Source organism: Homo sapiens, chromosome 10 (genome assembly GCF_000001405.40).
Source record: "Homo sapiens chromosome 10, GRCh38.p14 Primary Assembly".
NCBI lineage: Eukaryota > Metazoa > Chordata > Mammalia > Primates > Hominidae > Homo > Homo sapiens.
In genome coordinates this window covers 62,262,104-62,275,395 of record NC_000010.11, presented here as the reverse complement: position 1 = coordinate 62,275,395, position 13,292 = coordinate 62,262,104, and the positions used below count along the sequence as shown (strand labels likewise).

The following is a 13,292-nucleotide window of genomic DNA, read 5'->3' as shown; positions in this document are numbered from 1 at the left end:
TCATAATATTAATCCATCTAAAGAAAAAAAATTACCTAAGAAAGGAGCTGAGACTGGCTTGGAAACTAGAGGGGCATGTGAGAGAATATGAGGGATTGCAGACTGTGGAGGAAATGGTCAGAGGGGAATTTGAGGAAGGAGGTCTGGCTCCATCTGCAAGTGGACCTTCTGCTGTATATCAATGCATCTGGGTATTGTTGTGGGTGCCATCAGATAATTAAATCAGCACTTTTCAAACATTTTTATGCAAATACCCCTAAAATATTTTCTCTTCTATTCATATGTAATATTTTCATATATATGAGGTACATGTAAATATTTTCTATATGCATAGAATTTGTAATAATCAAGTCAGGGTATTTGGGGTCTCCATCACCTGAGCATTATCATTTCTATGTGTTGGTATCATTTCAAGTCCTCTTTTCTAGTTACTTTGAAATATACATAATATTATTACTAAGTACAGTCATCCTAGCCTGCTATCAAACATTAGAACTTATTTCTTCTGTTTAACTGTATCTTTGTACCCATTCACCAATCTCTTTTCATTCCCCCTTCCTACTGTTTTCTATCCTCACATCCTTCCCAGCCTCTGATATCTCTCTCTCCCTCTTTCTGTCTCTGTCTCTGTCTCATGTATATATATTTTATATATATATAAATACTTTTGTGACACAACGTCTCACTCTGTGGCCCAGGCTGAAGTGCAGTCGTATGATCATGGCTCACTGCAGCCTCAACCTCCCAGGTTCAAGCAATCCTCCTACCTCAGCCTGCTGAGTAGCTGGGACCACAGGTGTGTGCCATCACAACCAACTAATTTCTTTACTTTTTTTTTTTTTCTAGAGACGGAGTTTTGTTTTGTTGTCAGAACTGGTCTGGAACTCCTGGGCTCAAGTGATTCTCCTGTCTCAGCCTCCCAAAGCACTGGGATTACAGGAATGAGCCATCCCACCTGGCTATCATTCTACTCTCTATATCTCCATGAGATAGTTTCTTAGCTCCAGCATATGAGAACATGCAGTATTTGTCTTTCTGTGACTGGCTTATTTCACTTAACAGAACGACTTCCTGTTCCATCCATGTTGCTGCTACAAATGACATGATTTCATTATTTTAAAATAATTTTAAAAATCTTTTTACCCTTTACATATTTTTAAGGTGGCATTTGTCATGTTTTACCATACATTTAAATAGTTACAAAGGATGTAATTGTGGGTATATTGAAAATAATTAAAATTTCAAATTTCAAAAATTCTATTTATTAAATGTATCCAGTGGAATCTAAAATGTTAACAGTTGATATCCATCCGGCATCATCCATGTATCCATGTAAAAAATATATAAGCAATTTTATGCTGGAAATTGTACATTATTTCTTTTCCTACTTGAACTTGTATTTTTATTCCACTTCCCCCACAGAATTTTATGCTAAAATAAAATATTTTTATGCAAGAGAAGTCTTTACTGCTCATCTTATAATATTTCTCTGCAACAAACATATGTATATAAATTGAAATTTTATACATCTTCACATATCATGTGGTGGATGAACCCTTTTTCCTCCAATTAGTTATGTATTCATAGGTAACTATTACTTAATGTAGAATCAATACCAATATATATATATACGTATATTTGAGATAGGGTCTTACTCTGTCACCCAGGCTGGAGTGCAGTGGCGTGATCTTGGCTCACTGCAACCTCCACCTCCCGGGTTCAAGCAATTCTCATGCCTCAGCCTCCCGAGTAGCTGGGATTACAGGCACCTGCCACCGCACCCAGCTAATTTTTGTATTTTTAGTGGAGATGGGATTTCACCATGGTGGCCAGGCTGGCCTTGAACTCCTGACCTCAGGTGATCCATCCCCTCAGCCTCCCAAAGTGCAGGATTACAGGCCTGAGCCACTAATCCCGGCCCAATACCAATAATTTTAACGGTCCCTTTGACCTCCAGATGGTTTTTATATTCCAGGACAATGCAATGGGTGGAAGTGATGGCTTTCTTTTGTCAAATGGGAAAAGGTGATTGTGAAAGGGGGACCAAGGGGAGGCCTAGACAGCAAGGTAAGTTGTTAGGCCAATCAATTTCAGAATGAGGGAACCTAAGTTGAAAATCTTAACAATGCGTTCCTTTAAACAGTCAGACCTTTACATATACTCAGGCCTTGCAAAGTCTTTGTGTCCCCCAATTTAAGAACCACCGATTCAAGTTATACAACTAATTCCTGTGACTGATTTGCTTGGTGAGTAAAGAGCATTCTGATTATAATGTCACTTGAATTTCCTCAGGATTGTATGTAATATGTAGGTCACACTGACAGTAATAACTTAAATTGCACTTAATTTTGTTCCCGTCTGCTGACAAGAGCTCTCATCCCTTGCAAATTCTGCCAGACTCCTACCCCTTACTTCTCCCAAGCAGTGGTTCTTAAGTGTGCACAAATAAATCTACATAGCCAATTCTTCAGCATCTTTTTTCTGGTTATAGGTACCAATGCATTACAGCTGTGTTTTCCATGCTTTCACATAATAAAAATACAAAGGTAATGGATCAAATGTCAAGTCAAATTCTGTAAGCCAAAATATGTTTGATTAGTTTTAAAACATGTATTATTATATTATAATAATATGTATTATTAGTTTTATAAAAAACCCACACGTTATCACTATTGTTTAACATTTACAAGGACCTTTTTACATATTAAAAATTTCTTATTATGAAAAGTTTGATGCATACTAAATATATGTTATATATGTAAGTTACCAGGTAAACATTACAATTAATACTGGTGAACCCATCACCCAACTTAAGAACTAAAACATGACAAGTAAGTAGCTCTATATCTGCAGGCTCTGTGACTATCCTGTTCTCCTGCCTTCCTTCCAAAGCTGGCCATTAGCCTGAATTTTGTTTTTAGCATTCCTTTACTGTTAAGAATAAACTTTTATCACACACCTGTTTCCTTAAACAATGTGTTGTTTAGAGTCTCTTGTTATTCAAGTTTACAAATATTATATATTCTGCGTACTCTTCTGCAACTAGTTCTCTTCATTCAGTATTTCTAAGATTTAGTTATGTGTATGTTACTAAACATAATTATGGCTTATTTTTTAAAAGATACGTGACATTCTACTGGGTAAATCACCACAATTTATTAATCCATGCTCCTGAAATGAGCATTTGGATTTTAAAAATACTTTTGCTATGATAAGCAATGTTGCCTATACAAATTTGCAAGAATTTCCCACAGGATACATACCAAGGAGCAGAATTGCTAGGTAAACACATTTTCAACTTTACAAGACTGTTCTAAATTTGTTTTTTCCAAAGTGATTGGACATATTTCTATCTCCTCCACCAGCATATAATATCTCTTGGACCTGCATCTTTGCCAACCCCTAGTATTATCAGATTTCTTAATATTTCTCAATCTAGTGACTGTAAAATATCTCTTTGGGATCTTAATCTGCAGTTCACAGACTAATAATAAGGTTAAGCAACCTTTCCTATTTTATTTGTCACTTGGATTTACTCTCCTATAATATGCCTACCATACCTTTTGACCATTTTCCAGTTGAATTTTTATTGATTTATAGGAGTTCTTTATATATAGCATATTATTTAGCAGTGGTAGGTGATATATCTTGAATATATCCAATTCACATACATTTTTCTCATTCAGTTCTCATAGTTCTATAGGTACTTTACAGTTGCCTTTCGGTACTCATGTTTTCTTCCTACAGTAGTAACAACTCCTGTTTTTGTGGGACAGTTTACAAAGCACTCTCAAAAATCTTATCTGAGTCTCCCAACAACTTTAAAAAACAAGATGGGTATTATATACTTGTTTTATAGATAAGAAAACTGAGTGGCTTGCCCAAGGTAATCGGGCTAATAAATCCTCAGACTCCACATTCCATAGCCTCCTTCTGATTATGTGATGCTTCAGCTATTCATAGACATTCATTTAAGAAAATGCTGCACTTCTGCTTAGCACCTTGACCTCAGTTCCTTCTTTCTCTCTGTTTCTTCCATATATAATTCAAAATATAACTTTAATTTATTCAGTTCAACCTAAACAGATTATCTACAAGATGAACAGATGAGTAAAAGAAAGCACCAAGAGAATTTTTAAGAGGACTTTTTTTTTATAAGAGAGGCTAGGAGGATATTCAAAATCACAAGTTATCTGTTCTGTGTCAAACCACATTTTTCAAAATAATGGATCTGTTGTGTAACAGAGAGCTGATTTTAAGTTCAGTGTTTTCCTTTAGCCTCTTAGTTTAAAACAAGAATACAGAAAATAAGAGAAGAAAAATATACTTTGGCATCTATTGGTATTATCTAGATTGGCTTCTGTAGTTTTTAATTTATTATAATACTATCTGCTATATTAGGGATAACTAATATACGTATATTTTTAATTAGTATTAAATATTGACCTTATAGTGAGAAGTAATATTGGTAGGACAGTAATTCCATCACTCATCCTCTAGCTGAAGCTACTACATCTGGGCAGTTCGGTGGATATCGACCTTCTGTAAGAGCCCAGGGATGATGGGTTAAGAGATGCCCAAATGTTCTCTCTCAGATATTTGAGATGGTAAAACGTAGTACTTCTCACTTTCTGGGAACTGTAAAATAAATAGATTGATAGAGAAATCCTCAAGCTAATGAAGCCACTGCATATGAACTCTTTAAATTTTGTAGTTTCCATGGATGAGTATATTTTATGTGCATTACATACACCAGAGAAAACTGGCTGATGAAATTAGCAGTAACAAGTAAGGACTTGAGGATAAATAAGGAAACATAAGTCCTACTCCAAGGTATTTTAATCATCATATAATAATTAAGTACTTAAGCAATTCCTGGGGACCTCTCCCGGTGTATAATAAAAACAGGACCACATCATAACTTCTTCTCCCAAGAGAAAGGTCTCTTGTAACAACTGTATTCTACAGATAATTACTAAATATGATCTTGCCTAATCTCTTTCTTCTAGTATCATAAATAAATGTATCTCCAGTTAAATATCTGGTTTTAACTCATCAAATACTCCTCTATCAGTGTCCAATTCTAAACTGGTTGACTCACCTCTGTTTTAATGAAGTGCTGGCTTCTACATGTATTTTGATCTGCAACTGAGAGCTGTATGTGTTGTAAGTACTATGTGTCTGATGATGGGCTCGCGGTGTGTTTTTCTTTTGAGTCAGGTACTACAGCTAGGCTCATGCAGCCTCATACTGAGTAGGAGATAATTATACCACAAAGTGGTAGCATAAGACAGAGATGTGCATTGGAGGAAAGGGCACATAATGATTCTGAAATTCAGACCTGTGTTTGTAGAAAACGAGGTGAGCTCCGTGTTGATAATTTTGAACACATATTTTATTGTTGTAAGGATATGGGTCATTCATAATGCAAGGGGACCATCATTCCCAACTGGGAAGCTTCTAGTATCACCTAGTCCAAAAGGTCTTAAAGAGGCATTTTACCTATTTGAGGAAGGGTATCCATTATATTTTTAAAGTACATTCTCAAACCAACTGCTTTTAAAAGGGTCTTGCAGTTAAAATGACCACATAATATCCACTACGGGATAAGTGCAAGATTGGTGCAACATTGGGACAACAGACCCAGACAGGGTCTGTCCCAGGCAAATGAAAAAACATGGGCACCTATTTATGGAGGAAAAATGCCCAAGGGTTTCTAGGCGATGAGGGCTGGAGGGTTGATTTGGTAGACTCTTCAAGAAGAGGCTTCCTCTTGCCTTTTCAAGGGGGAAATAAAGATAAACTAGGGACAATGAATTTTAAGGACTTTTCAAGGGTGTGATATCTTTGCTGCTTTCATTTTGATTTTTAAAAATCCCATGTTTCCCTTTATAATTAACAAAATCCATGAATTAAAATGGGTCTTTGTGCTAATCTTTAGGGCAGCAAGAAATGAGGCTCTTGAGAAATAGTACCCCATTTTGCTATCACCTTAGATGTTGGAGAGGGAAAGAGAGGGCGAGAGAGCTGAAAGAAATCCTTCGCAAGAAAACAAAGTAAGTGGACAGAGTAGTTGGCGGGGAACATCTGGGATTATAAACACTGGGGGCAAAGACAAGACCTTGTGAAATGCCTGACATAGTATCTCACGAACCTGATGAATAAAACCATGATATCTGGGTGACCCTGGTGACAACGCTGGGAAAGGTGAGAGGAAACAGAGAGCGCTGTGTTTGAGAGTAATGTTATTGGTTCTTTAGGAACGAGACCGTGGGCTCTTAGTGACGCTGTGGGTTCCTGAGTTGTCTGGGAGTACAGGGACTGCAGCCTCGAGTCTGTCCAGCTACGATCACTTTGGAAGGCCTTCGGTGGGATGCGGGCAGAAAGCTCCCAGTGCAAAGGGCGTGCCACGAAAACCACCAGCCAGAAACCTGAGCTGGGACAGGTGCGCTCCGCCGCCGAAGCTTTCCCCGCGGCCCCTCCCACTCCCGTCCCAGGCCCGCCCACATCCCTGTCCGGGACTTAAGTCCGGCACCGCCGCCCTCTCCCCCGCCCCGCCGCGCTAGAGCCTGGGGTCTCGGCAACTTCCGGCGGCGGGAGCTGCAGAGCGCAAGGCGCGCCCACTGCGCGTGCGCTTCGGCCCGGCTCCTCCTGCGCCCCCGGCCCCTGCGACTGGGACTTGGTACGGCCGGGCGGTTGGCGTCCTCTGCGGCTCCTGCCAGGGGCGGGCTTTTCAAATCTTCCCTTTGAAGGAGTGGCGACGGCCCGGACAGTTCGCGTTGGAGATGGAGGGGCCGAGCCTGAGGGGTCCTGCGCTCCGCCTGGCGGGGCTTCCCACCCAGCAGGTGAGTTGCGGGAGGGACCCTGCCGCGGAAGGTGAGGGAGCCGGGGTTCTGTTCCTCGCGCATTTGCTTTGTGGAGGAGTCGGGAAAGCCTCTCCCCCGCTCCTCTATTTCAGCGGTGGCCAGAAACAAAGGGAGGGATTAGGAGACTGCGCTCTTGGGGCTCTAAAGGGCCTGGACATCGGAACCCCCGAGTTTCTCAGGCAGCTGAGGTCCGGATTGGGAAGGCGGTGCCGGGGTCCAGGCGCGCGTTTGCGGGCGCACCTGTCCGCTGCCCTCCCCAGGCTTTGGACGCCTGTCTTTTTGCAGGTGTAGGTGATGCCGGGGAAATGGGAGCCCCTCGATTCCCAAGAAACCCAGCGAGGCCAGTGGACAGCTGGCTTATTACGGATTTAATGGGAAGCACAGTAATGGAGCGATGTCTACACACAACACAGAACTGGTTGGGGGGAGGGGGTTCGGAGCGGAGTAGAGGCAAACAGCAACCTCTGCACTTTAGAAAAAGTTGAAGGTTTGATACTGGGTTCTTTCTCAAATCATTTGAAAGGAAAGAGGGAGTACACGTGACATTGGATAGAAGTTTGATGTTTGCTTTTGAGCCATGTAAAATGCGTTAGAAACCTTTTTATTTTACTTTTTACTAAACCAACATTATTTCTTGGCAGCATCAGTTATTAAAATGTTACCACTTTTCACTCTTAACCATAACTTTAGGGTCTTAAAAGAAAACTCTGATGTCTTTAAGCTGGACCTTCACTTCTATTTTAATCTCTACCTTCTTTTACCTACTTCAGAAATAGGTTAAGCCATATGAAATTGCCAGTTTTGTAGGTCAAAATTGGTAGAATATTTGCAATTTCATTCATATGGAGGCACCTGATATCTTTGTTTAAAAATCTGGGATTTCCTTAGCAGACACAAAATTATTAGTTTTCAATAATACTGTGAAAAATAAAGCAAGACATTAAGATTCATTATGCAAAAGAAGTCCAGTGTCTTTATCAGTAATACTTATGCTGTTTTATGCCAGCATTTTCAAAAATTTCAAAGATTTTGATGTACTTTTTTTCAGTCCTGTCCTGTTATGTACTTTGGCTGTCCTGATTGCTAACAAAATCTTGATTTATAGTGAATTGCCATTCTATTGATGTTCTTGCACCTATCATATAGGTGTAGGTGTAGCTGTCCAGGTGTATTTATTGAGCTGCAGGCTGCAAGAATAGGAATGGTACAGAAGCGACAAGAGGATAAAATCATGAAGTTTAGTTGCATGGAATGAAAATAAATGTTTAAATATACATAAAGCCTGGGTTATTTACATGTGGGAAGATACAATACTTAATTTCTTAGGCAGGACAAAATCAAAATGATTGAAATGTGGAATTACTTCCTCAGTTTGGATTTGAAGAAAAAACACAAAATAGTAGTAGGTTGCAACCTAACAGGAATATTGAGAGTCAGATAATTTTATACTTGACTAACACTGAATTTTTATTTGGTATTTCCTTTGATACATGAATGAAGCTGCCACGTAATCGAGATAAGGCCAAAGATTTTGAGGTGGTCACACACTGGTCAAACACCTCTGCTGAAACCCTGGAGTCCTCTGCGACTCCTCACAGCATAGAGTATTGGCTTTGGAGTCAGATTCAGGTCAAACCAAACTCTTCTTGTTGTGCAACCTTGAATAAGTTATCTCTGTTTTCTAAGTTTCAGTTTCCACCGTTGTAGCTTGGGTATTCCGCCTATCCCAGACAGCTGTTGGAATTGGAGAACCTCTCTAAAGTACTTATCACAGCACCTAGCACTCAGGATGTGCTTCAGAGATGACTATTGTTGTTATTATCCTTTGTCCTATTCATCTGAGTGGTTAGGGCAGTCCCCTACTTTTCTTACAAATGTTTAAGCTTTTGGCATCTTAATAAAAATAAAATTCAAAAAGTAATACTATCTCATTGCAGAAAAGTCAACATATACAGAAACATGAATTTAAGAATTCGGTCTCCAGTTCCATTCCCCAGAATGGCCGCTGTTAACAATTTCCAGACTTTTTTCTGTACATAAACAATTCTTAAAATCCACACAGTTTCTTTTAGCAAAATGAGAACGTACTGTATTTACTCTTTTCTTCTTCACCTTGGTCTTTGTTAACATGGCTTAACTATATCCATTAGGTGAATCATAGTTTCTGTCTTGATTACTGCGGTTGTCTTACCGGGAGTTCAACTTCAGGTTTTTTTAGTCAGTTTTTAATACCAACAATAAAGCCATTTTCTTTGCACTTCCTTCATGCTAGGCTAGCTCTTAAAACCTAGTAGGTTTCTGTTTCCTACTTAACCTAAATTTCTGTTTTTAAGGTATGCTCCTATTTCATTCATAGCCTTGTCCATATATTTTTATCAGCCTGACTTTAACTACTTATAGCGTCAGGACAGTGACACAGGCTTCTGTTTGACTTGATTAGAGGCAAGCCCTTACTCAGAAAATTGGAAAAGAAATAAGAGTATGATGGCCTTACCTCATTCTCTGCTGTTCCTGGAGACTGGCATTCAAACAATCCTAAAAGGAATGGTTACAGAGAGACCAGCTTTTGTCTTTGGTCCTAATCAGCCTTGACTCTACCTGGCCAAGCCATTATGGCTGAGGGAGCGACACTGATGATTTTCCATTCCCTACTCATCTTCTTTGAGGTTAATAAACATCACTATTGAATGCCCAATCGGTACCCTTATTACATGATCATTATTCTTGCTGGGGATAGCACTAGACATGAACCCTTACCCCTGATGCATTGTATACCCTTAGTAACTAAAGACAACTCTAAAGAGTTTTGGTTCCATAAACCCTTCCTTGCTAGAGCTAGCACTGCTTAACCAGAGAGGCTTTTTCTGCATGTAAAATGTAGATGTGTACTAAAAGAAGTTGCATGGGAAATACAAAACTGGCTAAAACAGTAGCCTTAAGAAAAAAAAAAAAACCAACAGCTCAGAATACATTGAAAACCATATGTACACTTAACAATTCATCCTGCTTATGTTAGCCTTCTGGGATCCACTTAACTGACATTTGCCTGAGACCTGCCTCAGCGAGGGAGGTAAGATTATAGTTTACTGTGTATGTTAATTTGGCTGGATTATGGGTCAGTAAACTATTTCTATAAAGGGGCAAACAGTAAGTATTTTCAGCTTTGCAGGCCACTCAGTCTCTGTTGAAGTTGCTCAACTCTGCCCTTGTAGCTTAAAGGAGCCATAGACAATATGAATGAGTGTGTCTGTGCTCCAGTGTAACTTTATTTACAAAACCAGGTCCCAGCCAGGCCATAGTTTTCTGACCCTTGCTCTAAAGGAAAAAATCTTAATAGTAGTATCTGTTAGATACACCTCATTTCCTTAATAAATAGTACTTTAATCTTACATCATCTTCAAACTTTTTACACGTACATTTTTTTTTTAATCCTGACTTTACATTTTCTTTCTCTACTATTTCCCAAGCTTCTATAGTTTTATGGAGTCTTCATTATAAGTGATGGTGAGAAGATACTCTTCATTTATGTGATAGAAACACAAACTGATTCCTTAATGTGGCTGTAGCCACCTGCTGGTTCTTTAAGGTTGTTGCAAGTTTCAAGATTGCTGTGGAATTTCAAATAGTCCAGCTGTGCTTCTCTACCCTAGCTGACCATTGAATCACCAGAGGAACTGTAAAAAAAAAAAAAAATGCTCAAGCCCCACCTCCAGAGAGCCTGATTGGTTTGGGGTAGGTCACAGGTTTAGGTACTTCTATAAGGCCCTTCCTCTCTGCCTCAGATGATTCTAATATGCAGCCAGCTTTGAGAACCACTGTGCTAGTTCAACTGCCTGTTTCATTGTATCATTTAAAACTAAAGTTGAATTTAGTGGCACCAGATGGTATTTGTTTATATTTGAGTTGTGGGGTAAAGCTATTCATCCCAGCTTTAGGTTGCTCCCTATGTGCACTCCCCAATATAGTCAGTCTGCCAGAGTTTATTTCTATAGACATATGGGTCACATAGATAATTCTTATAATTAATTGCTAATTACATTGAAGAAGAATTTACTTTGGGGCTAGTAAGTCATAAAAAGATGAAATGGAGTTGTTGAAATTCAGTCATGTGTAATGAAGGAAAACCAGCAAATGACTACATTTATATAGTACACCAGTTTTGAGTTACAACACTATATGAGAAGGTTTTTATGTGGTGATTACATGATGTAATTACAGAAGGTAATTAAACAGCTGTTTTCTGTGTGTAAATAGTACAGTTGATTGATTTGGATAGTCAAGTTAAATCATCTACTGTAGTTTGTCTTTTGGGGTAGTCTTCAAAAACTATTAGCTCTCCTAACTTTCATCTTTTCTTTTTGAAAAGGTTGTATAGACCTTTTGGTATTAGATTTCATTTACATTTTTAAATTTACATTTTGATCCATTCAGAAGGTAAATTATAGTCTTTATTTTTTTGCCATAGAAACTAGGATGGTCACTTTATGTTTTAGAAATAGACATACCAGAAACATTACATGTTTGTGATATAATAAAGAGTACCTTTGATTTATAATTTTTATAAAGTCATTGTGAATTAAATCAGAACTGTACATTCAGTTTGTAGAATTTTAATGTTGCGTGTGAAACTTATATGTAGAATCAGGCCATTAAAAGATAATTATATGGAATAAAAGACTTTCAGCAATAAAATACTTAGTAGTTTCATGGTGAACCCTAAAACTAAAATAAATGGTATGTCCAGAATTGTATTCTAAAGCTCTGTTCCAGATAGCTAAGGCTTCTGACATTTTCAGTGTACAGCGCTTTCACTCTCTTGCTTCTGAGATTGTATTTACACTGCCTACTGTTACAAATAGCCTGTTTCCTCCCTGCTACTAAACCTTGGCTCCTTTACTCAGTATCTGCTTTTTTCAGAATGTTTTTCTTGGTTAATTCACTGTCATCAACCACACTGCCATCTCTTAATACAATGTATATAATATATATGTGTGATATATTGTTCACATTAGTTATTGTATGTTTTCTAAGGCTGCTATAACAAATGACCAAGACTGAGTGGCTGAAAACAAGAGAAATTTATTCTCAAACTTATGGAGGCCAGACGTCTGAAATCAAGGAATTGGCAGGGTCATGCTCCTCTGCAGGCCCTAGGAAAGAATTCCTTTCTTGCCTTTTCCAGCTTCTGATTGTTGCCATCAATCCTTGGTATTTTTTTGGCTTATAGACATATTAGTCTCTGTCTTCACATGTCATTCTCTCTGTATGTGACTGTGTCTTCATGGGACCTTTCTTTAAGGACACTAGTCATTAGATTTAGGACCCACTCTAATCCAGTATGTTCTCATTTTACCTAATTACATCTGCAAAACCCTGTATCCAAATAAGGCTACATTCTGAGGTTCTGGATGGACATAAATTTTGGAGGGATGCTATTAAACTTCGTATAGTTATAAGAACACATAATGTTTCTCACCTTTGTTTATGTTCGTTTATTCCGTTTCTTTAGATTGTAAAGACTTCCTAATGAAGCAAGAAGTTTAGAATTGCAAAGAGCATTTTAAAATAGCTATTTTTACACTACATATATTAAAACTTTGTTGCTTTCTCAATATGGTATACAATTATGATACCTATTTTCGATCTATTATGGGTTAAGATGTAATTTTGGGTTTTTGCTATATTTTCAAGATGCATTTTTTTTTTAGGACTGCAACATTCAAGAAAAAATAGACTTAGAAATTCGAATGCGAGAAGGAATATGGAAACTCCTTTCTCTGAGCACTCAGAAAGATCAAGTTTTACATGCAGTTAAGAATCTCATGGTGTGCAATGCTCGACTAATGGCCTATACATCGGAGCTACAGAAATTAGAAGAACAGATTGCAAATCAGACTGGAAGATGGTTAGTAACATAGTTTACCTGTGGCTTTTAATGTACTTAAATATGTAAATTTAAAACACAGTATAATTTAAGCTTAAGTACCAATGTCAAATCACCAAACTGTTTTAAAAAACAAATACACTGAAGTAGCAGCTGACATCATAAACAGTTTGCCGACACAGCTCAGAGTGAACTTAGGCAGCAGCTTTTATTGGGCTGTTGTGTTCAATATGTAATTATAAAATGAAAATTATCCAGAAGCAATGACTGAGGGAGCATTTTAAGAAGAAAGTACCAATATTGATAGAAATGTAGAGTAAGAAAATTAATTGCTTAGAAATATGCTAATATAAAGGTACTAGCTGTGAGACATGGAAACTCAAGTATAGAAATTGAGATGAGTGAGCAGCAAAATTATAAAGAGATAAAACCTTATGAATGGAAAGGAACTTAAAAATCTGCTAGCCCATCTCTTGATATGGTGAACATAAGTCCCAGAGAGGCAAAAAACCTCAAGGACATTCATGCAACAAGTGATGGAA

The 13,292-nt window shown here is 38.1% G+C and overlaps 1 protein-coding gene and 1 long non-coding RNA gene across 10 annotated transcripts in view, besides 2 other annotated features; one reads left to right on the top strand and one right to left on the bottom strand.

Annotated features, from left to right (window-relative positions):
* Nucleotides 1-13,292, bottom strand: part of LINC02621 (long intergenic non-protein coding RNA 2621) — a 44,902-nt gene that overhangs the window by 28,672 nt on the left and 2,938 nt on the right. The window lies entirely within an intron of this gene.
* Nucleotides 6,471-6,800: a silencer, noted in NCBI's record as "silent region_2397". NCBI's record gives its function as "represses an Ori minimal core promoter by ATAC-STARR-seq in GM12878 lymphoblastoid cells {active_cell/tissue: GM12878}" and the evidence as "EXISTENCE:reporter gene assay evidence [ECO:0000049][PMID:35858748]".
* RTKN2 (rhotekin 2) overlaps nucleotides 6,552-13,292 on the top strand; it is an 84,945-nt gene continuing 78,204 nt past the window's right edge. For all 9 annotated transcript variants that reach the window (XR_945618.3, XM_017015844.3, XM_011539457.4 and 6 more), the window contains exons 1-2: nucleotides 6,552-6,845; nucleotides 12,575-12,771. Coding sequence is in view for 8 of the 9 variants with exons in the window: in XM_017015844.3 (XP_016871333.1) it covers nucleotides 6,786-6,845; nucleotides 12,575-12,771 (257 nt within the window). In the remaining variant the exon portion in view is untranslated. The remainder of the gene's footprint in view (nucleotides 6,846-12,574; nucleotides 12,772-13,292) is intronic.
* Nucleotides 10,271-10,772: an enhancer, noted in NCBI's record as "NANOG hESC enhancer chr10:64024383-64024884 (GRCh37/hg19 assembly coordinates)". NCBI's record gives its function as "activates a minimal SCP1, AML or CMV promoter by ChIP-STARR-seq in primed H9 embryonic stem cells {active_cell/tissue: H9 hESC(primed)}" and the evidence as "EXISTENCE:reporter gene assay evidence [ECO:0000049][PMID:30033119]".